Source organism: Homo sapiens, chromosome 22 (assembly GCF_000001405.40).
Source record: "Homo sapiens chromosome 22, GRCh38.p14 Primary Assembly".
Classification (NCBI taxonomy): Eukaryota; Metazoa; Chordata; class Mammalia; order Primates; family Hominidae; genus Homo; species Homo sapiens.
In genome coordinates, this window is record NC_000022.11 from 44,199,624 (window position 1) to 44,215,675 (window position 16,052).

Sequence of the window (16,052 nt, forward strand, 5' to 3'; positions counted from 1 at the left end):
ATGCCTGGGTCAGAGGAGGGGCCTGGAAGAATGAGGGCTTAGAATAATCTCAAGGAGTCAGGAAGGGCATTGCATCAGAGGGGAGCCGGGAAGTTGATCAGGGATTGGTTTGCAGAGTTATCAAGGAAGGGCTTGCAGAGGGGAGGGAATAGCATCAGCAAAGGCTCAGAATGTGGCAAGAACAGGAATGGGTCAGGGAGGTGTAGGTGCTTCACTCTGGCTAGAGGGGCTGGAAGGGTGGGGCCTGACCTGGGGGGATCAGCAGTTCCCACGTGGACCCTAGAGGCTGGTGGACTGGCTGGGAGCTGGCTGCCTGCTTCCAGGCATGAGGGCTGTGGCTTGACCTGGGGAAGAGGGATGAAGAGAGTGATGGAGGTGGGGTGAGAGGGCAGGTGAGCCTGCAAAGATGCAGCTCCCACCGCCTCTTCCCCAGGTACAGCCTTCAGTGCCCGCTGGCTAGTCCTGCCTCCGCCCCCGCCAGGCCCCTGTGGTGTGTGCCACCACTTCCTCCAGCTCCCTGGGCTCTCCCATCTCTGGGCTTTGCCACAAGCTGTTCCCTTCCCAGGAGCACCCTTCCTACCAGGTAGGCCTGGCCCATGAGAAGGGATTTTACTACTTTCCAAATAAGGAAAGAGAGGTCCACGGGCAGCCAAGGCTTACCCCGGGTCACTGCCAGGCAAGAGGCCTGAGTCTTGTGCTCTTCGCCACCAGCTCCCTGCCTGCCTGGACCTCAGGTTTTCTGTCTCTGAAAATGGGCTGACAATCCCTGCCCCCTACTCAGGCCACACAGGTAGTAAGAAAGAGTTTGGAGAACCATCGAGGAGAAAGCATTGAGGGACATGTGGTCCCTAGTATCCCCAGGCTTGCCTCTCACAGGAGGTGACATTGGAGGCGTGCATCCCAAAGGACAGGCTGGAGTGTTGGTGGCTGGTGGCGTGCCCAGGATCCCGGGCAGCCAGCTTATCTCCATCCATGCCAGGGTTCCCGTGGCCTGGGGCAGGAGGACCTCTTTATCTCTCTGCAGCAGTAGCTTTTTCTAAAGAGGTGAAGCAGGAGGCAGGGCCACATGCCCCGTCCCAGGGCCAGCCTCTGGGGCTGTTTCTGGGAGAGACAAAGGCTTCCATCCCTTTCACATGCTCAGGGCGTCCTTGGCCCTGGATCAGGCCTCTTGGCCTATCTGGGGCCCAGTAGCAGGTGAGGTCCCCCCTGGACCCCTACCAGACTCCCCCTCCACCTAGGCCCTTCTTCTAGGCCGCTCCCCTTAACCTTCCTGGACACCCACCCTTGTGCCTCTCCCCTGCTTCAAGTGGAGCACCCAACTGCCAAGCCCCATCTGCCTCCCCGACCACGTCCCCTCCTCCCTTCCTGCCGACTCCCAGCCACAGCCACAGCCACAGCCACATGACCTCTGGCCCCCTTCCAGCTCTCCAGGGCCTGGTCCTCCCCCATTCCCTCACATCCACGCAGGCTGTGCTCTCAGCCCAGCCTACCCTGGCTTTGCTTCCCACCTGCTTCCCTGGGCGGGCGGCCAGCTCTGCCCACCTTCTCAGCTCCTCTGCAGTCCCTCGGCGCTCTGTGGGGCCCTGTACCACAGTCCACACTCCCTTGGGGTTAGCTCCCTGCACTTTGCCTCTCCTGGCCCTCTCCCCACTCACCCTCCCTCCTTGCCCCTGTGAGAGCGGGGCAGGGCTGCATCTCCATTTTACAGAGGGGAGCCCAGGGCCCGAGAGGCTTACCCAGTACCACCCAGCTGCTCAATGGCAGCCTCACACCAGCACAGCCTGCCGCCCGCAGCCTGCCATGTCCCTCGCCCCCACGGGGATGCATCTTGAGTGGGTGTGGCCTCCACCTTCCCTGGAGGCCAGGTGCTCTGGACTTGGTTCCCAAGAGCTGGGATGTTGGGTCAGAGCAACGAGGCCGGGGCAGTCAGTGTCTACGGTCCTGGTGGTTGTGGCAGGCACGGTGCCTGCTGCTTCCTAGGTTCTTCCATTCGGAGGAGCTGCATCAGCCAGCCATTGCCACAAACGTGCTGCTTAACAAACCACCCGAAAACCTAGGGGCTGAAAACCATGCTCATTTCTTCCCACAGACCGGCAGGTCGGCTGAGTTTAGCTGCTAGAGGCTCAGCTAGGCTTTGTCACTCCTCCGAGGACTGGATAGGGATCAGGCTGTCGTGGCTGGGTGGCTCGGCTCTGTGCCACAGCCTGCCATGTTCCTTCTGGGACCAGCAGCTGGCCCGGGCACGCTTTCCTCCTGGCAATGGCAGACACATGAGAGACCAGGCAGAAGGCATGAGGCCCTGGCTCAGAATGGGCAGGCTGCCACTTCCATCGAAGCAGGCCCTGTGGCCTTGACAGTGACATGGGACAGCCCTGCAAAGTGTGTGGGTGCAGAATTGGGCCGATGGTGGGATCTCCCACGGGCAGTGTGGACGAATGTGCTAGCAAATCCTCATGTTGGGTCTTGGAGTTAGGAACTCTTCCCATCCCCACTTCCACAGAGGAAACAGTTGAGAGAGGCACAGAAGTCTGGCCCAGAGCACACAGTGAGTTAGGGTCCTCCCTGTTTCCCTCCTGTGGAGCCAATGTGAGTCTCTGGGAGATGGAGGGGTGGCAGGGCTCAGTGGGGTTGAAGCCAAGGCTGAGACTGGGGTCAGAGCCTGCCTCGGGAAGGCAAGGCACTGAAATGTGAGCGGTGAGGAGAGAAGGCGGAGGAAGGGGGCAGGCAGGACCACCTGCGGGCTGAGGGCCTGGGGCTCGGAACCCAGCTCAGAGCCACTCTGGGGTGCCCCTGGGCTGCAGGGCCTCTGCTCAATCTGTTGCACCATCCAAGCCCCAGTTACAAGACGGGAACAAACGTGCAGACTTCCATGTTGCTGTGTGCAGCCGCTTTGCTGAATCCACTGATTTTAGAACTTACTTCTGAATATGAGTCAGATTAGATGTGGGGGAAAAGCAGCAGCCTCTTAGCTCAGACTCCAAGAATGAATTTTTACAGCATATTGTGGGCAATCTCTGCTGCAGGAATGTGTAATCAAAATGCTGAAGAGGTCGTCAGCTGAGGAGGGCGGGAACACCAGCCCTTGCTGAAGGTGGGCCTCTGCGGAATTGTTATCTTGGCAGAGTAGCCTCTTGAAATTGGATTTCTCATTATCAGACCCTCTTTGCTGATGGTGTTTATGTGAGATAGTTATTCATTGTGGGCACGGAAGTTAAGGATGGAGGGAGAGAGGATCATTCGCTCCCAGAAATAAAATCCCCGGAGCCAGGAATCCTTGGCGTCCTTCCACGTTAAATTACTTTCCCCAGGAGGATTTGCACGTATCCTCCCGGGTTGTAACCTTCTCTCAGCTCCGTGGAAGGTGGTAGTTTTATCTTCATCTCAAGCCACACGCGGAAGAAAAATCTCTGGACAGAGCATCATGAGATAGCTCTGGAGCCAGGGTCAGCTCTTACTGGGGGATGATCTTTTGTTCAGATTGAGTGTCATTGAGGAAGAGTGTGACAAACAGAAGCAGATGTCATAATTTTCAGTGTCGATAGCAATTCCCAAAGCATAAGCTCTATGAGGGCAGGAGGTCTGGTCTGTTTTGAGCACTGGTTGTATGGCTAGCACATAGTAGATGACAAGTATTTTTTTAAATAAGTGAATGAACGAAGTGTTTCCAAAACATTGGTCCCAGGAGGTGTTCTGTGACAAATGGGTTCTATGAATAAATAACTTGGGGAAACATGTCTAGTCTTGAAGGTTCATGCGGCCCACCAACACATTCAAGGCTCTAATAAGTCCTGCAGTGAAGGACTTCCATAGTATTTTATTTAATCCAACAATTTCTAAAAACGTTTGGCCACAGATATCCCCTTTCCTGTCCATCTTAGATCACAGTTTGGGAGATGCTGGCTCGCTGAATGTATCAAAGGCGGAGCTTTGAGGCAGGAGAGCACAGTGCGGAGTCTGGAACCTCAGGTTCCTCAGGGTCTTGTTCTCACTCCGACATTTACTCTCCATGTAACTGCAAATAATATTCGTGATGAGAATGCGAACAATAGCAACAATTGCAACCCTAGTTTCCCAGAATATTCCAGTCTAGGAGGAAGAACTGGGGACACAGTGATGGGAACTTCCGGTGATGCTCTGGTCTGTCCACTCGGAGCTTCCCATCCATCTTGGTCTGGACAGTCTCAGAGTTTCACCCCGCATTGGCCCCTGCAGCATGCTGCAACATTGGTGCCGTGTGATAGCCTTTGTTTCGCTCTTGTCACCCAGGATGGAGTGCAGTGGTGCAATCTTGGCTCACTGCAACCTCCGCCTCCTGGGTTCAAGCAATTCTCCTGCCTCAGCCTCCCAAGTAGCTGGGATTACAGGCACGTGCCACCACACCCAGCTAATTTTTGTATTTTTAGTAGAGACAGGGTTTCACCATGTTGGCCAGGCTGGTCTCGAACTCCTGACCTCAGGTGATCTGCCCACTTTGGCCTCTCAAAGTGCTGGGATTACAGGAATGAGCCACCGTGCCTAGCCTGTTTCTTCTTGTTGGCTGACTACAGAGGAGCGGCCCTGCTGCTGCTGCTGGGCACCCTGCCCATACACTCCTTTCCATCTGGGACCCGCCCTCCATCTTCATGTCCCCACGTGGAGAAGGACTCTGCTCACCCACTTCCAGCTCCTATGCCTTCATCATCCTCACCTTCAAATCTTGCTTTGTGGCTTCAATTCTGTGTCCGTCATCACATTGGACGCACATGGCAGCCTTGGAGAGGAAGGCAGACAGGTGTATCATCCCCGTGACACAGATGAGGCACCTGAGGCCCAGCCAGGATGTGTGACTTGTCCGAGGTCAGACACTTAGTGGCAGGGATGGGGGTGGCAGTACACAGACATCCAAGCTAGATCCCAAGAGTCCTCTTGCTCGGGCCATCCAGCAGGTGGCTGGAGGTGGCCTGGGCCAGGCTGGCGTTTCTGGATGAGTCTTGCCTGGCCTTGCTCATCCACCGCTCGGCCAACCTGGCCTCTTGGCCCCTGGCGGGTTGCCATGGGAACTGCCCTGTCCTGGTGGGGCTGGTGTGGCCAGGCAGATAGGGAGGGAACGGGACCAGCACAGCTGACCCCCGGGCTGGGATGTCCACCCCGTCTAGTGGATCTACGGGTGGCTAAGACATTGAAGGGAGGACCTGTTTGAGGTCACAGTGAACCAGGAGTTCATCCCTCTTCACCCACACCAGGCTGCTGCCCTAAGGCAAAGGGCTGGGACCTACTCTGCTTGTAGACGAGGCCCAAGGGAGAAGCTAGAATGGAAAGGGAGGGGACCTACTGTGGGAGGGCCGGCAGGCTCCTGGGCTCTCACCATATCCTGTAGCAAGGCACAGGGGAACTGTGGTGAGCCCACTTTGCAGGGGAGCAAGGGGAGGCCCTGGGCAGGGACTAAGCTGAGCTCTGAATCACTGGGGGACTTGACTGATGCCCGGGCGCTCTCCACCCTAAAGGGAGCCATCTCTGAGACTGCACCCCAGGCAAGGGGTGGCGGAAAGGACAGCCACCTGGGTGGGGACCGCTCCAGTCTCTAGCCTGCTTTGCATGAGCATTGGAGCGGACAGACCTGGTTTGAGCGCTTTCTGTCTCGTGAGCTCCAGTGAGCCCCTTGGCTCCTCTGAGCCTTGATTTCCTCACTGTGCTTTGCCCTGGGAAACAGCTGTTCTCAAAGGTGCTCTGCCACCCCAGGCCCTTGCTCCTTTCCCTGGGTAGTTCTCCCTGCCTGGCGGGACTCACCACCAGGCTTCACCTCCACCAGGAAGCCTTCCCTGATCCCTATTGGGTATCCTCCTTGGCGATTGCCTTTTTCACGGGCAGTGGCCCCTGGACGCAAGCGTGTGCCCAGTGTGGTATAGCACCTGCTCAGAGTGGGGCCTGTGAGTGGCTGAGGAATGAGACATGGATTGCTTGTGTGACAGAGTGAGCTGTAGGGAGATGCTGGATGACCACGGATTGTGGTCGTGGTCAGGGATGCCCACCTTGGATGGGAGTTTAGGCTCATGATGGACATCACAGACAACAGGAAGGGCTTGGCACTTGGGACCCAAGGCCTGGCCTGGGGCTGCTGCTTGTGCCCACATCTGATAGGGCCTTGTCATCATAGCTGCACAACGTCACCCTGGCGCTGGAGCTGCTGAAGGACGAGGGCCTGCTCAGCTGCCCTGTCAGCCCTGAAGGTGAGTGCAAGGCAGATGCCCACACGGTGGCCAGCCCTGGGTGGCAGCCTTGTGCGAGAGCCACAGAACAGGGTGCAGGGCATTGGGGGATGAGCACGCATTGGCAGAGTCCTCTTGCCTGGCAGGGGTGGAGAATGGGCGCTTGCCAAGGTTTCTTGGGAGGGGGCACTGCAGCCCCAGGGGAAGAGGTTCTGGGGAGGGGGAGACCAAGGTCTCTGGGGACAGGTTGTCCAGAGAAGCCAGACCTTGAGGAGTTGCTGTGTTGGGGGCACCACAGGAGCATTCAGAGGAGGACTGGCCAGGAGGAGGAGGCAGTCACGCAGCAGGCGCGGGACCCAGGCCTGGAGTGACCAGCTGTCCTGGCTTCCAGGGATTCTCCTGGGATTAGCACTGAAATCCTGAATGCCAGGAAACCTTGACCACATCGGGACAGTCGGTCACTGCCACCCAGGCCTGACTGGCTGCCCTGCCCTCCTTTGGCCCGCAGATATCGTGAACAAGGATGCCAAGAGCACACTGAGGGTGCTCTATGGTCTGTTCTGCAAGCACACGCAGAAGGCACACAGGGACAGGACGCCCCATGGAGCCCCGAATTGACCCTCACTGCCTCCAAAGCCCAGAGCCTGCCTGTCAGCCCAGCTGGAGGGCCCGAGGCTGCAGGGTGTCCTCCCACAGTCCCGCTGTTTCCTGTGCATTCGTGACCCGCTTCCCTCCCACCCTGTCTCCTGTCTCCATCGTTGGATTATCTTTGAACCCCCTTGTGTGGATCATTTTGAGCCGCCTGGCCTTGCTCAGTTTATTTTAATAAAAGTATTTCTGGGAGGGATTCTGGGAACTTGACAGGGTCCTGAGGAGGGCCCTTAAACCTGCAGCCTCCCTCCCATGGGGTGAGTGTGTGTCACATCAGTCTCTCATCTCTGGGCCCAGGCTAGTGACCGCCCAGAGAGGTGGCATCACTCAGGGCTGGGGACTCTCAGGGACAGGGCCCACAGCCCCAGACCCCACCTTTTCCAGCCCAGCTCCCCACACCCACCTGCTTCTCACTCGGGAGGATGGGCCCCAGAGTCACCCTCCAGGGCAGGAGCCCGAATGGCTCCATAGCCATGCCCCCACCCACCGGGAGAAGTGGATTCAGTGACTGTCAAAGCAACCCGGGCTGTGTCCTGCAGCTGCCCTCGTGAGTTTTGCCCAAAAGTCACAAAGAAGCAATCTTCGTGGTTGATTAGTGGGTTCAGGTCATCTCCAGTCTGTCCTCGGGAGCTGTGGGTTCCCACTCGCTCCAGTGAGACTTGGCATTTTCTGCACATAAAGAAGAGTCGTGTGGGAGAATTGCACATAGTCAGTCCAGGGCATCCAGAGTGGGGCAGAGCTGATGGCTGATGGGAACCGGGGAGGAGGCTGGCGGGGAGGGGTGAGATTGGTGGGGAGGGCTGGGGCTGGCCGGGAGGGGTGGGACTGATGGGGAGGGGTGAGGCTGGCGGGGAGGGGTGAGGCTGGCGGGGAGGGGTGGGACTGGTGGGGAGGAGTGAGGCTAGTGGGCGGGTGAGGCTGGCGGGGAGGGGAGGGTTTGTGGGGACGGGTGAGGCTGGCGGGGAGGGGTGAGGCTGGTGGGGAGGGCTGGGGCCTGGTGGGGAGGAGTGGGACTTGTGGGGAGGAGTGGGACTTGTGGGGAGGGGTGAGGCTGGGGAGAAGGGCAACCACAGCCCCAGGCTGCTGCTCCTCCCTGGACCCTGAAGAGGCCTCTGGGTCTGGGGTTTTCACAGTTTGACAGCTGAGGCCTTGGGGAGGGGCTTTAGATGGGGGTTAGGGGCTAGGTCATCATTGACACCCACTGGGGGCGCCTAGGCAGATGTCCTTCGGGGGAGCAAGATGGGAGCCAGGGACGCAGTGCCAGGTCAGCCCTGGGAGCTGGTGTCTGGGTGTGAGAAGGCCTTGAGGGGTCTTCCCTTCACCTAGCCTCCCATCTGCCTGCCCTTCTCAGCTCCCAATTCACAGGGCAAACCCAAGCCCATAAGCGTGTTCCACGTGAGCACTCAGATGCACCCCTCTTCATGGATACCCACCCTACTTCCCGGCTGCCTCTGGGAAACGTGCATCCTCCCACACCAGGTACCTGGAGCCCAGCTCCTTCCACCTGCTCAGGTGCCCCCTCCATTGCGATGCCCCCTCCAGCACCTCAAATCCTCTCCTGGAGCTTCTGGGGACACAGGCTCAGCCTCTCTCAGCTGGCTTCATCCCAAAAGCCTGAAATCCAGCCCCACTTCCTGGGGCCTTTGAGTCCTCACTTGCTTGGGCCCCATCCGCTGCAGGCTGGCTCTGCCTGGCTGTTCCACGTCCTCACTCTTGTTCTATTTGACAGCAATTAAAAAAAAAGTGACTTATTTAATTACTGTAGCTTTATTGAAAAATAACTTCCCAGTTTGAAGTGTACAATTTGATGAGTTTTGACAAATGCATGCAGTCATATAACCACCACCATCGTTATCCAGACATGGGACATTCCCATCACCATGCAAGTTTCTGCATCTGTCTGCAGCCAGTTCCCTTCTCCCAGCCCCTGGCCCTGGGGACCACTGATCTGTTTTCTGTCACCATCATTTAGACTTGTCTAGAATTTCTTATAAACTGTATCCTATGGTATGTTGCTTTTTGTGTCTGATTTCTTTCACTTAGCATAATGCTATTGAGAGTATCTCCATTGTTTCTTGTATCAACAACTCATGTCCTTAGTACATTCAAAAATAAGTCCTCCAATTTTGTTCTTCATTTCAAAAATTATTTTGGTTTTTCTAGGTCTTTTTAATTCTTTTGGTTTCTACATAAAATTTAGAATCAGTTTGTCATTTTCTGCAAAAAAGCCTGCTGAAATTTTGACTGGAATTGTGTTCTTTAGATCAAACTGGGGAAAACTGACATCTTAAAAATATTGGGGAGCTAAGATCACTGATTTGAGAATATTTTTCTTTTATATAAATATTTAATGCTGGATTTTTTTTTCTAAGCACAGCTTTAGCTGCATCCCACAGATACTAATATGTTGTGTTTTCACCTTCATGAAGTTCAAAATATCTTCTAGTTTCAAATGTGACTTCCTCTTTCACTCATGGGTTATTTAGAAGTGTATAATTTCCAAATATTTTGGGATTTTTTTTCCAGCTATCTTTTGGCATTGGGTTTTGTTGTGGTCAGAGAACATGCTTTGTATGATTTAAATCACTTAAAATGCATTATGACTTGTTTTATGTACTGGATTATGGTCTATCTTGGTAAATATTCTGTATGCACTTGAAAAAGAATGTGTGCTCTGCTGTTGTTGGACAAAATGTTTCATAAATGTCAATTAGGTCAAGTGGGTTGATTATGTTGTTCAGATCTTCTATATCCTTGCTAATTTTCTCTCTACTACTTCTGTCAATTACCAAGACAGAAGTGTTAAAATCTTCAACTGTAACTGTACATTTCACTATTTCCCCTTTCAGTTCTATCAATTTTTGTTTCATACCTCATATAAGATTATAATGTCCTTTTGTCTCATTTATCCCTTGTAATATCTCTTACTCTGAAATCTGCTTTGTCTGATATTAATATAGCCACTCAAACTTTCTGTTAGTATTAGCATGGTATATGTTTTTCTATATTTTTAAACTGCGTCTGTTTAAAGTAGGTTTCTTATAGACACAAATAATTGTGTCTTTTTGTACAATCTGGAAACCTCTGCCTTTTAATTAGAGGGTTTAGTCCACTTACATTTTTTATTGTGGCAAAATATACATAGCACAAAATTAACCGTTTTAGCCATTTTAAGTGTACAATTCAGTGGCATTAAGTACATTCATACTGTTGTGCAACCATCACCTCCATCCATCTCCAGAACTTTTTCATCGACCCAAACTGAGACTCTGCACCCAGGAAATACTAACTCTCCATTCTCCCCTCCCTCAGGCCATGGTAACCACTATTTCTCCCCTCCCTCAGACCACGGTAACCACTATTCTACTTGCTGTCTCTGTGAATTTGACTATTCTAGGTACCTCTAGTCCATTTACATTTAATGGAATTATTAATGCCATCTTGCTGTTTGCCTTGTTCATATGTTTTTCTTATTCCTTTTGGATTGAAGACTTTTTAGCGATGTGAATTTATTTCCATTATTGGCTTACCAACTGTATTTCGTTATTTTCATTTCCTAGGGGTTGCTCTAGACTTTATATACACATCTGCATTCATATCCTGTCATTGCTGTAACAAATTACCACAAACTTCTTGGCTTAAAACAGCAGAAATTTATTCTCCCACAATTCTGGAGGCTAGATGTCTGAAATTAAGGTGTTGGAAGGGTCACGTTCCCTCTGGAGGTTCTAGAGGGAAAGCTGTATCTTGACTCTTCAAGCTCCTGGTGGCTACCAGCATCTCTGGGCTTGTGGATGCATCACTTTAATATCTACCTTCACAGTCACTTTGCTTCTTTCTCCTTTCTCTGTCTATCCCTCCTCTGTGTCTCTCTTATAAGGGCGCTTGTCATGAGATTTAGGACCCACCTAGATAATCCACGATTATGTAATCTCAAGATCCTTAATTTAATTATATCTGCAAAAACTTTTTTCCATGATTATCTAATCTCAAGATCCTTAATTTAATTGTATCTGCAAAAACCTTTTTCCCAAAGAAGTTAACATTCACAGGTTCTGGGGATTAGCATGTGGACAAATCCTTTTGGTCACCATTTAATCTACTATAACATCTTAACTTATTACAGTCTACCTTTAAGTAATATTACTTCCATTTTACTCTTCTGTGTCCTATTGTTGTCATGTGTCTCATTTCTATAGAATAAATTTCACAATATATTATTTTTGCTTAAAAATGTCAATTGTCTTCTTTTGAGACAGGGTCTCACTCTGTCACCCAGACTGCAGTGCTCACTGCAGCCTCGACCTCCCGGGCTCAATTGATCCTCCCACCTCAGCCTTCTCAGTTGCTGGGGCTACAGGCATGCACCACCACACTTGGCTAACTTTTTTAGAATTTTTTTTTTTTTTTTTTTTGTAGAGATGAGGTCTCCTTATGTTGTCCAGGCTGGTTTCCAGCTCCTGGCCTCAAGTGATCCACTTGCCTTGGCCTCCCAGTATGCTAGGATTACAGGCATGAGTCACAGTGTCCAGCCACATCGATTGCCTTTTAAAGAGTTTTTTTTTTTTAATTGAGAAGAAAGTCTTTTATATTTACCCACATACTTATTACTCCTGGTGCTCATCGTTTCTTCTTCCATTTGGTATCATTTTCTTCCTGCCTAAAAGACTTTCTTTATCATTTTGTGTAGTGTTGGTTATATGTTAGTGAGCTTGTGTACCTACAGAAATAGATTCAGTATTGGTCCTTCCCACTCCAAACAGCTTTCCTGGCGATGCCTTCTGCTTCTAAAATTCCTGTCCCTCCTCCCTAAGGGTCACTCTCCAATCTCCACTGCAGCTCTAGCCCTGAGCTCCAGACCCACATTTCTTTCTTTTTTCTTTTCTTTTTTTTTTTGTGTGTGGTAAAATACACATAACACAAAATGTACCATCTTACTATTTTTAAGTGTATTCAGCAGTATTAAGTACATTCCTATTATTGTGCAACTGTCACCACCCTCCAACCACAAAACTCTTTGCATCTTGCAAAACTGAAACTCTGTATCCATTAAACAATAACTACCCCCATCTTCCTCCCCTAGCCCCTAGCCCCTAACAACCACTATTCTACTTTCTGACCTAATCTATATTTTGAACTTCCCAGGGCATAGCTGTGCCTGGGGTGCCCACCCCAAGCTCACCACATCCAAGTCAGAGCTTGCCCCGTTCCCTAATCTTCACTCTGGAACTTTCCAGCTGGCCTCCCTTTCGCAAGAAAGGGACTTCTTTCTTGTGACTTCACTTCTGCACCAGCAGCCAGAGTGCTTTTGTCCTCGGAACCCAGTCTCACTACCATCCTGCTCTAACCTTCCCAGGCCCCAACCTCCGGGCAGCGTCTGGACTCTGGGTGCTCTGGTGCTGCTGGCTTTGTGGTCCTCCTGCTCACTGTGTTCTGTCTCCGTCCCTGCCTCAACCTTTCCACACTGCTTCCAGTTATATCCCTGACATCTCTGCGATCTTTCCAAGTCTTTCTGATGCTGTTCCCTCTGCCCAAGATGCCCTCATCCCACCTGCCCCAGGAACTTGTCATTCAGAAAAGGAGTGGGGACATTCTTTGAGAAGAGAGTGGGGAAGAGGGTTCACCGTGGGACAAGGTGGATGCCTGGGGGCCCTGGGTGCCTGGGGGTGGGTGGAAGAAGTGGTTCCCACAAAGAAGTCTGAGACGAAGCAGGATCAGGGAGCCCTTTCCTCCCCTTATTTCACTATCCATGGCCTTCGCTCTTTTTCTCTCTTCCTCCATCCCAAGAAATCTGACTCCAGTAGAAGTTGCAGCCGAAGTTGGAAGCAGGATAATTATAGCAAGCTGAACAGGAAGGCGTCCAGGGCCAGAGAAGGAGCTGGCAGCTTGGGCTGGGTGTGCAAACAGCTTCGAAGCGAAGGGAAATGCCTCGAAGGCTGGGGTGCCTCGGAGTTGAGCTGCTTCCCAAAATAATCCAGAGGGCAGCTGTCTTGGAGTCTGAAACTGGGTCTGGCCGCCTGAGCTGCAGGAAGCCCCAGGACTCACACCAGCTCCACTCTGGGAACAGATGGAACTAAGATTTTTTTTTTTCTTTTTACCAAAGTCAGCTGGTAAGCGAACAGCTTGTCTAGAGAAAAGTGTGTTCCTGCCCCCATATCTTCTGGCAATGGATCAAAGCTGCCAGTGCCATCCCAACCCCCATCCCTGCCCCACCAGCCTTCTTTCCTTGTAAGACTTGGGCAGTGGTGAGCAGAGGGGCATCATGGACCTAGAGACACATGGGATCCCCACCCCCTGGGGGTGTAGCCCAGGGAGTGTCCTGGGCCCCTAGGTCAATGGGGGACTGGGCTGAGGGGCCTGGCTGGTAAGAAAGTAGATGATGAAGATGTTCCAGAAATGATTCTTCCAAGAAGAGTCAGCCAATGGACCTGGGCTGGCCAACAATTGCATGAATTCATTTATTTATCCACAAGCATTTCATATGGGTTGGTTTATTATTACCTAGAAAGGTGATGCATTAATACCTAGGTGGGTTTTTACAAAGGTACAAAATCATAGTGCACACACCATTCATAAGAGAACTTCTCCACCTACTGTGTGCAGGCCCAGGGCACAGAGCTGGGTATAAAGAGAGTGCTCAGACCGAGGCTCTATCCCAGAGGAGGTGTAGCCCAGGGTGGAAGGGGCTGGGTAGTGCAGTGGTTAGAGTGTGATGCTTGAGTCAGACCCTGGGGTGTGAATCCTGGGCAAATCCTCACCTCACTCTGTGACCCCAGGCAAATCACTTACCTCCCTAAGCCTCAGTTTCCTTCTATGTCAAATGGAGGCAATAAGGAATCTATTCTTCACAGGGCTATTTAAAAAGTTGAGTATCTGGAGAGCTTGAAGCTTGCTGGACACATAACATTCAATAAATGTCAGATGACATCATGGGTGTCATCATCACCATCACCACCACTGTCACCATCATCACTATCACATCATCATCACCTCCATCATTATCACCATCATCACCACCACTGTCACCATCATCACCATCACGGCATCATCATCACCATTATCATCCTCATCACCTCCACTGTCACCATCATCACCATCACATCATCATCACCTCCATCATTATCACCATCATCACCTCCACTGTCACCATCATCACCATCACATCATCATCATCACCATCATCCTCATCGTCACCTCCACTGTCACCATCATCACCATGACATCATCACCACCATCATCATCAACATCACCATCATCACCACCACTGTCACCATCATCACCATCACATCATCATCACCTCCATCATCATCATCATCACCTCCACATCATCAACATCACCATCATCACCACCACTGTCACCATCATCATCATCAGATCGTCATCACCATCATTATGACCATCATCACCACCATCACACCACTGTCACCATCATCACCATCACTGTTACTATCATCACCATCACATCATCATCACTATCATCACCATCATCACTACCATCATCATTGTCACCATCACCATCATTGTCACCATCATCACCACTGCTGTCACTATCATCACCATCACATCATCATCATCATCATCATTATCATCATCATCACTACAGGCACAAAAACAGTGCTGGAAGTCCCTCCTCCATAGGTCCTAGTGAGGATGCAGTGACATGAGGTACGTGAGGTTAGAGGCCTGGCACGCCTTTGGCACTCAGAGTTAGGCACTAAAAGGCCAGCTCATCAGGTGAGTCCTACCTGGATTTTGTGTCCCTGCTTCTAGGCTTTGCTTGTTGGAGACCCACAGCAGCACCTAGCCCTGGGTAAATACTTGTGGACTGACCCACTAACGTGACCTCTTAACTCTCCTGGGTGAGTCAGATCCAGACCTGCTGCTTCAACTTGCAGCCCACCCAGCTGGCCACCCCAGCATCCCAGGATGCCAGCATTCAAGCGGGGCTTAGCTCTGACTTGAACCCATCTTCTTGGCCCCTGTGCTGGGCCAGTAGGCTCACCAGCTCAGCTGAAAACACAGGGACAAATGGAGGACCTCTGGCTCCATGATCCCTCTCCTTTACCCGGTTGTCTGGAGTAAGAGGCAGGAGTGTGATATGGGAAGTCCTGGCTCCAGTCTTACTGGGCCCCTTAGCAGCTGTGTAGTCTTGGACAGGTCACTACCCCTTTTTGAACCTGAGTTTCCTCATCTGTAAAATGGAATGATCCTGCCTGCTTAGTTCAACCCCCACGATGGTAATCCATCTTAAGGATGAACTGCAATAATGGTGGGCAGGGTTTTGAAAAGTCCTATCAGCTAAACAATGGCCAAGGCTAGCACTGACTGGGATCTCCACCTTTCTTCAGCAGCCATGGCCCAGATGGCCTGGCCACCTACCAAGCCCATCTGCTCTTCCTGCTGGGCACGCAGCTGGACTGCATGCCCCACCTTCTTTGCAACCCAACGTGGTCAATAATAAAATGTGAATCAAGTAAAACACAACATTGCTGAGCCTGGTCCTCAAACCCAGTCCCCTGCATGACCTGATACTCCTGTACTCCCCGATGCTCTGGTGATGCTGACTAGCCTGGTGAGATTGCAAGCCGTGTGCTGAGATGCTGGAGCCACAGACGGAGTCACCCTGGGAGGAGAGCTGCCTGCCAGTCAGGAACACTCGTTTTGAACAGTATATGAGCAAGAAATATTTGAACTCCTACTCATTTGGTGTGTGTTACAGTAGCGGTGGAACAAACACTATAGCACTTGACTAAAACAGCTGCATCAACTCTATTTAATCATTCATTTTATTTCAATTAGATATTTTTTTTTCATTTCTAGAAGTTTTATTTGCTTCTTTTTCAAAATATCTTGGCCTTTGTATAGTCTGTTGTTCTTTATTCATATTATTCGTATTTTTGAACCCTTCCTCTAATTCTTTCTATGGATTATCTTTATTTTCTGTTCTGTGTCTGATGACGCTAACATCCAAACCTTTGCAGTTTCACTGTGCTGTCTGTTGTTTACCTTGACGCTTGCTCATGGTGCTTTTTCCCTTGTGGGTCTTTGTGGGTTTTGATTGTGGTCCTTTCAACTTAATTGTGGAGAATTCTTCAAGGCCTAGGTTGAAAATGGGAACCTCCAGAGATTATTCACATCTGCTTCTGCCGGATGTGTAGGGTCACTCCAATTTGGCTCTTTTATGTGAAAATCCTAGTCTAAGGATTTGGGGTCCAC

At 51.3% G+C, this 16,052-nt stretch overlaps 1 protein-coding gene across 2 annotated transcripts in view, besides 4 other annotated features; it reads left to right on the forward strand.

Annotated features, from left to right (window-relative positions):
• The window catches only part of PARVG (parvin gamma), a 35,519-nt gene extending 26,673 nt beyond the window's left edge, over nt 1–8,846 (forward strand). For both annotated transcript variants that reach the window (NM_001137605.3, NM_022141.7), the window contains exons 13-14: nt 6,134–6,206; nt 6,694–8,846. In NM_001137605.3, the coding sequence (NP_001131077.1) occupies nt 6,134–6,206; nt 6,694–6,803 (183 nt within the window). In that variant the 3' untranslated portion in view covers nt 6,804–8,846. The remainder of the gene's footprint in view (nt 1–6,133; nt 6,207–6,693) is intronic.
• Nucleotides 824–1,633: an enhancer, noted in NCBI's record as "H3K4me1 hESC enhancer chr22:44596327-44597136 (GRCh37/hg19 assembly coordinates)". NCBI's record gives its function as "activates a minimal SCP1, AML or CMV promoter by ChIP-STARR-seq in naive H9 embryonic stem cells {active_cell/tissue: H9 hESC(naive)}" and the evidence as "EXISTENCE:reporter gene assay evidence [ECO:0000049][PMID:30033119]".
• Nucleotides 2,445–3,254: an enhancer, noted in NCBI's record as "H3K4me1 hESC enhancer chr22:44597948-44598757 (GRCh37/hg19 assembly coordinates)". NCBI's record gives its function as "activates a minimal SCP1, AML or CMV promoter by ChIP-STARR-seq in naive H9 embryonic stem cells {active_cell/tissue: H9 hESC(naive)}" and the evidence as "EXISTENCE:reporter gene assay evidence [ECO:0000049][PMID:30033119]".
• Nucleotides 4,515–5,015: an enhancer, noted in NCBI's record as "H3K4me1 hESC enhancer chr22:44600018-44600518 (GRCh37/hg19 assembly coordinates)". NCBI's record gives its function as "activates a minimal SCP1, AML or CMV promoter by ChIP-STARR-seq in naive H9 embryonic stem cells {active_cell/tissue: H9 hESC(naive)}" and the evidence as "EXISTENCE:reporter gene assay evidence [ECO:0000049][PMID:30033119]".
• Nucleotides 5,016–5,516: an enhancer, noted in NCBI's record as "H3K4me1 hESC enhancer chr22:44600519-44601019 (GRCh37/hg19 assembly coordinates)". NCBI's record gives its function as "activates a minimal SCP1, AML or CMV promoter by ChIP-STARR-seq in naive H9 embryonic stem cells {active_cell/tissue: H9 hESC(naive)}" and the evidence as "EXISTENCE:reporter gene assay evidence [ECO:0000049][PMID:30033119]".
• Nucleotides 8,847–16,052: the final 7,206 nt, after the last annotated feature.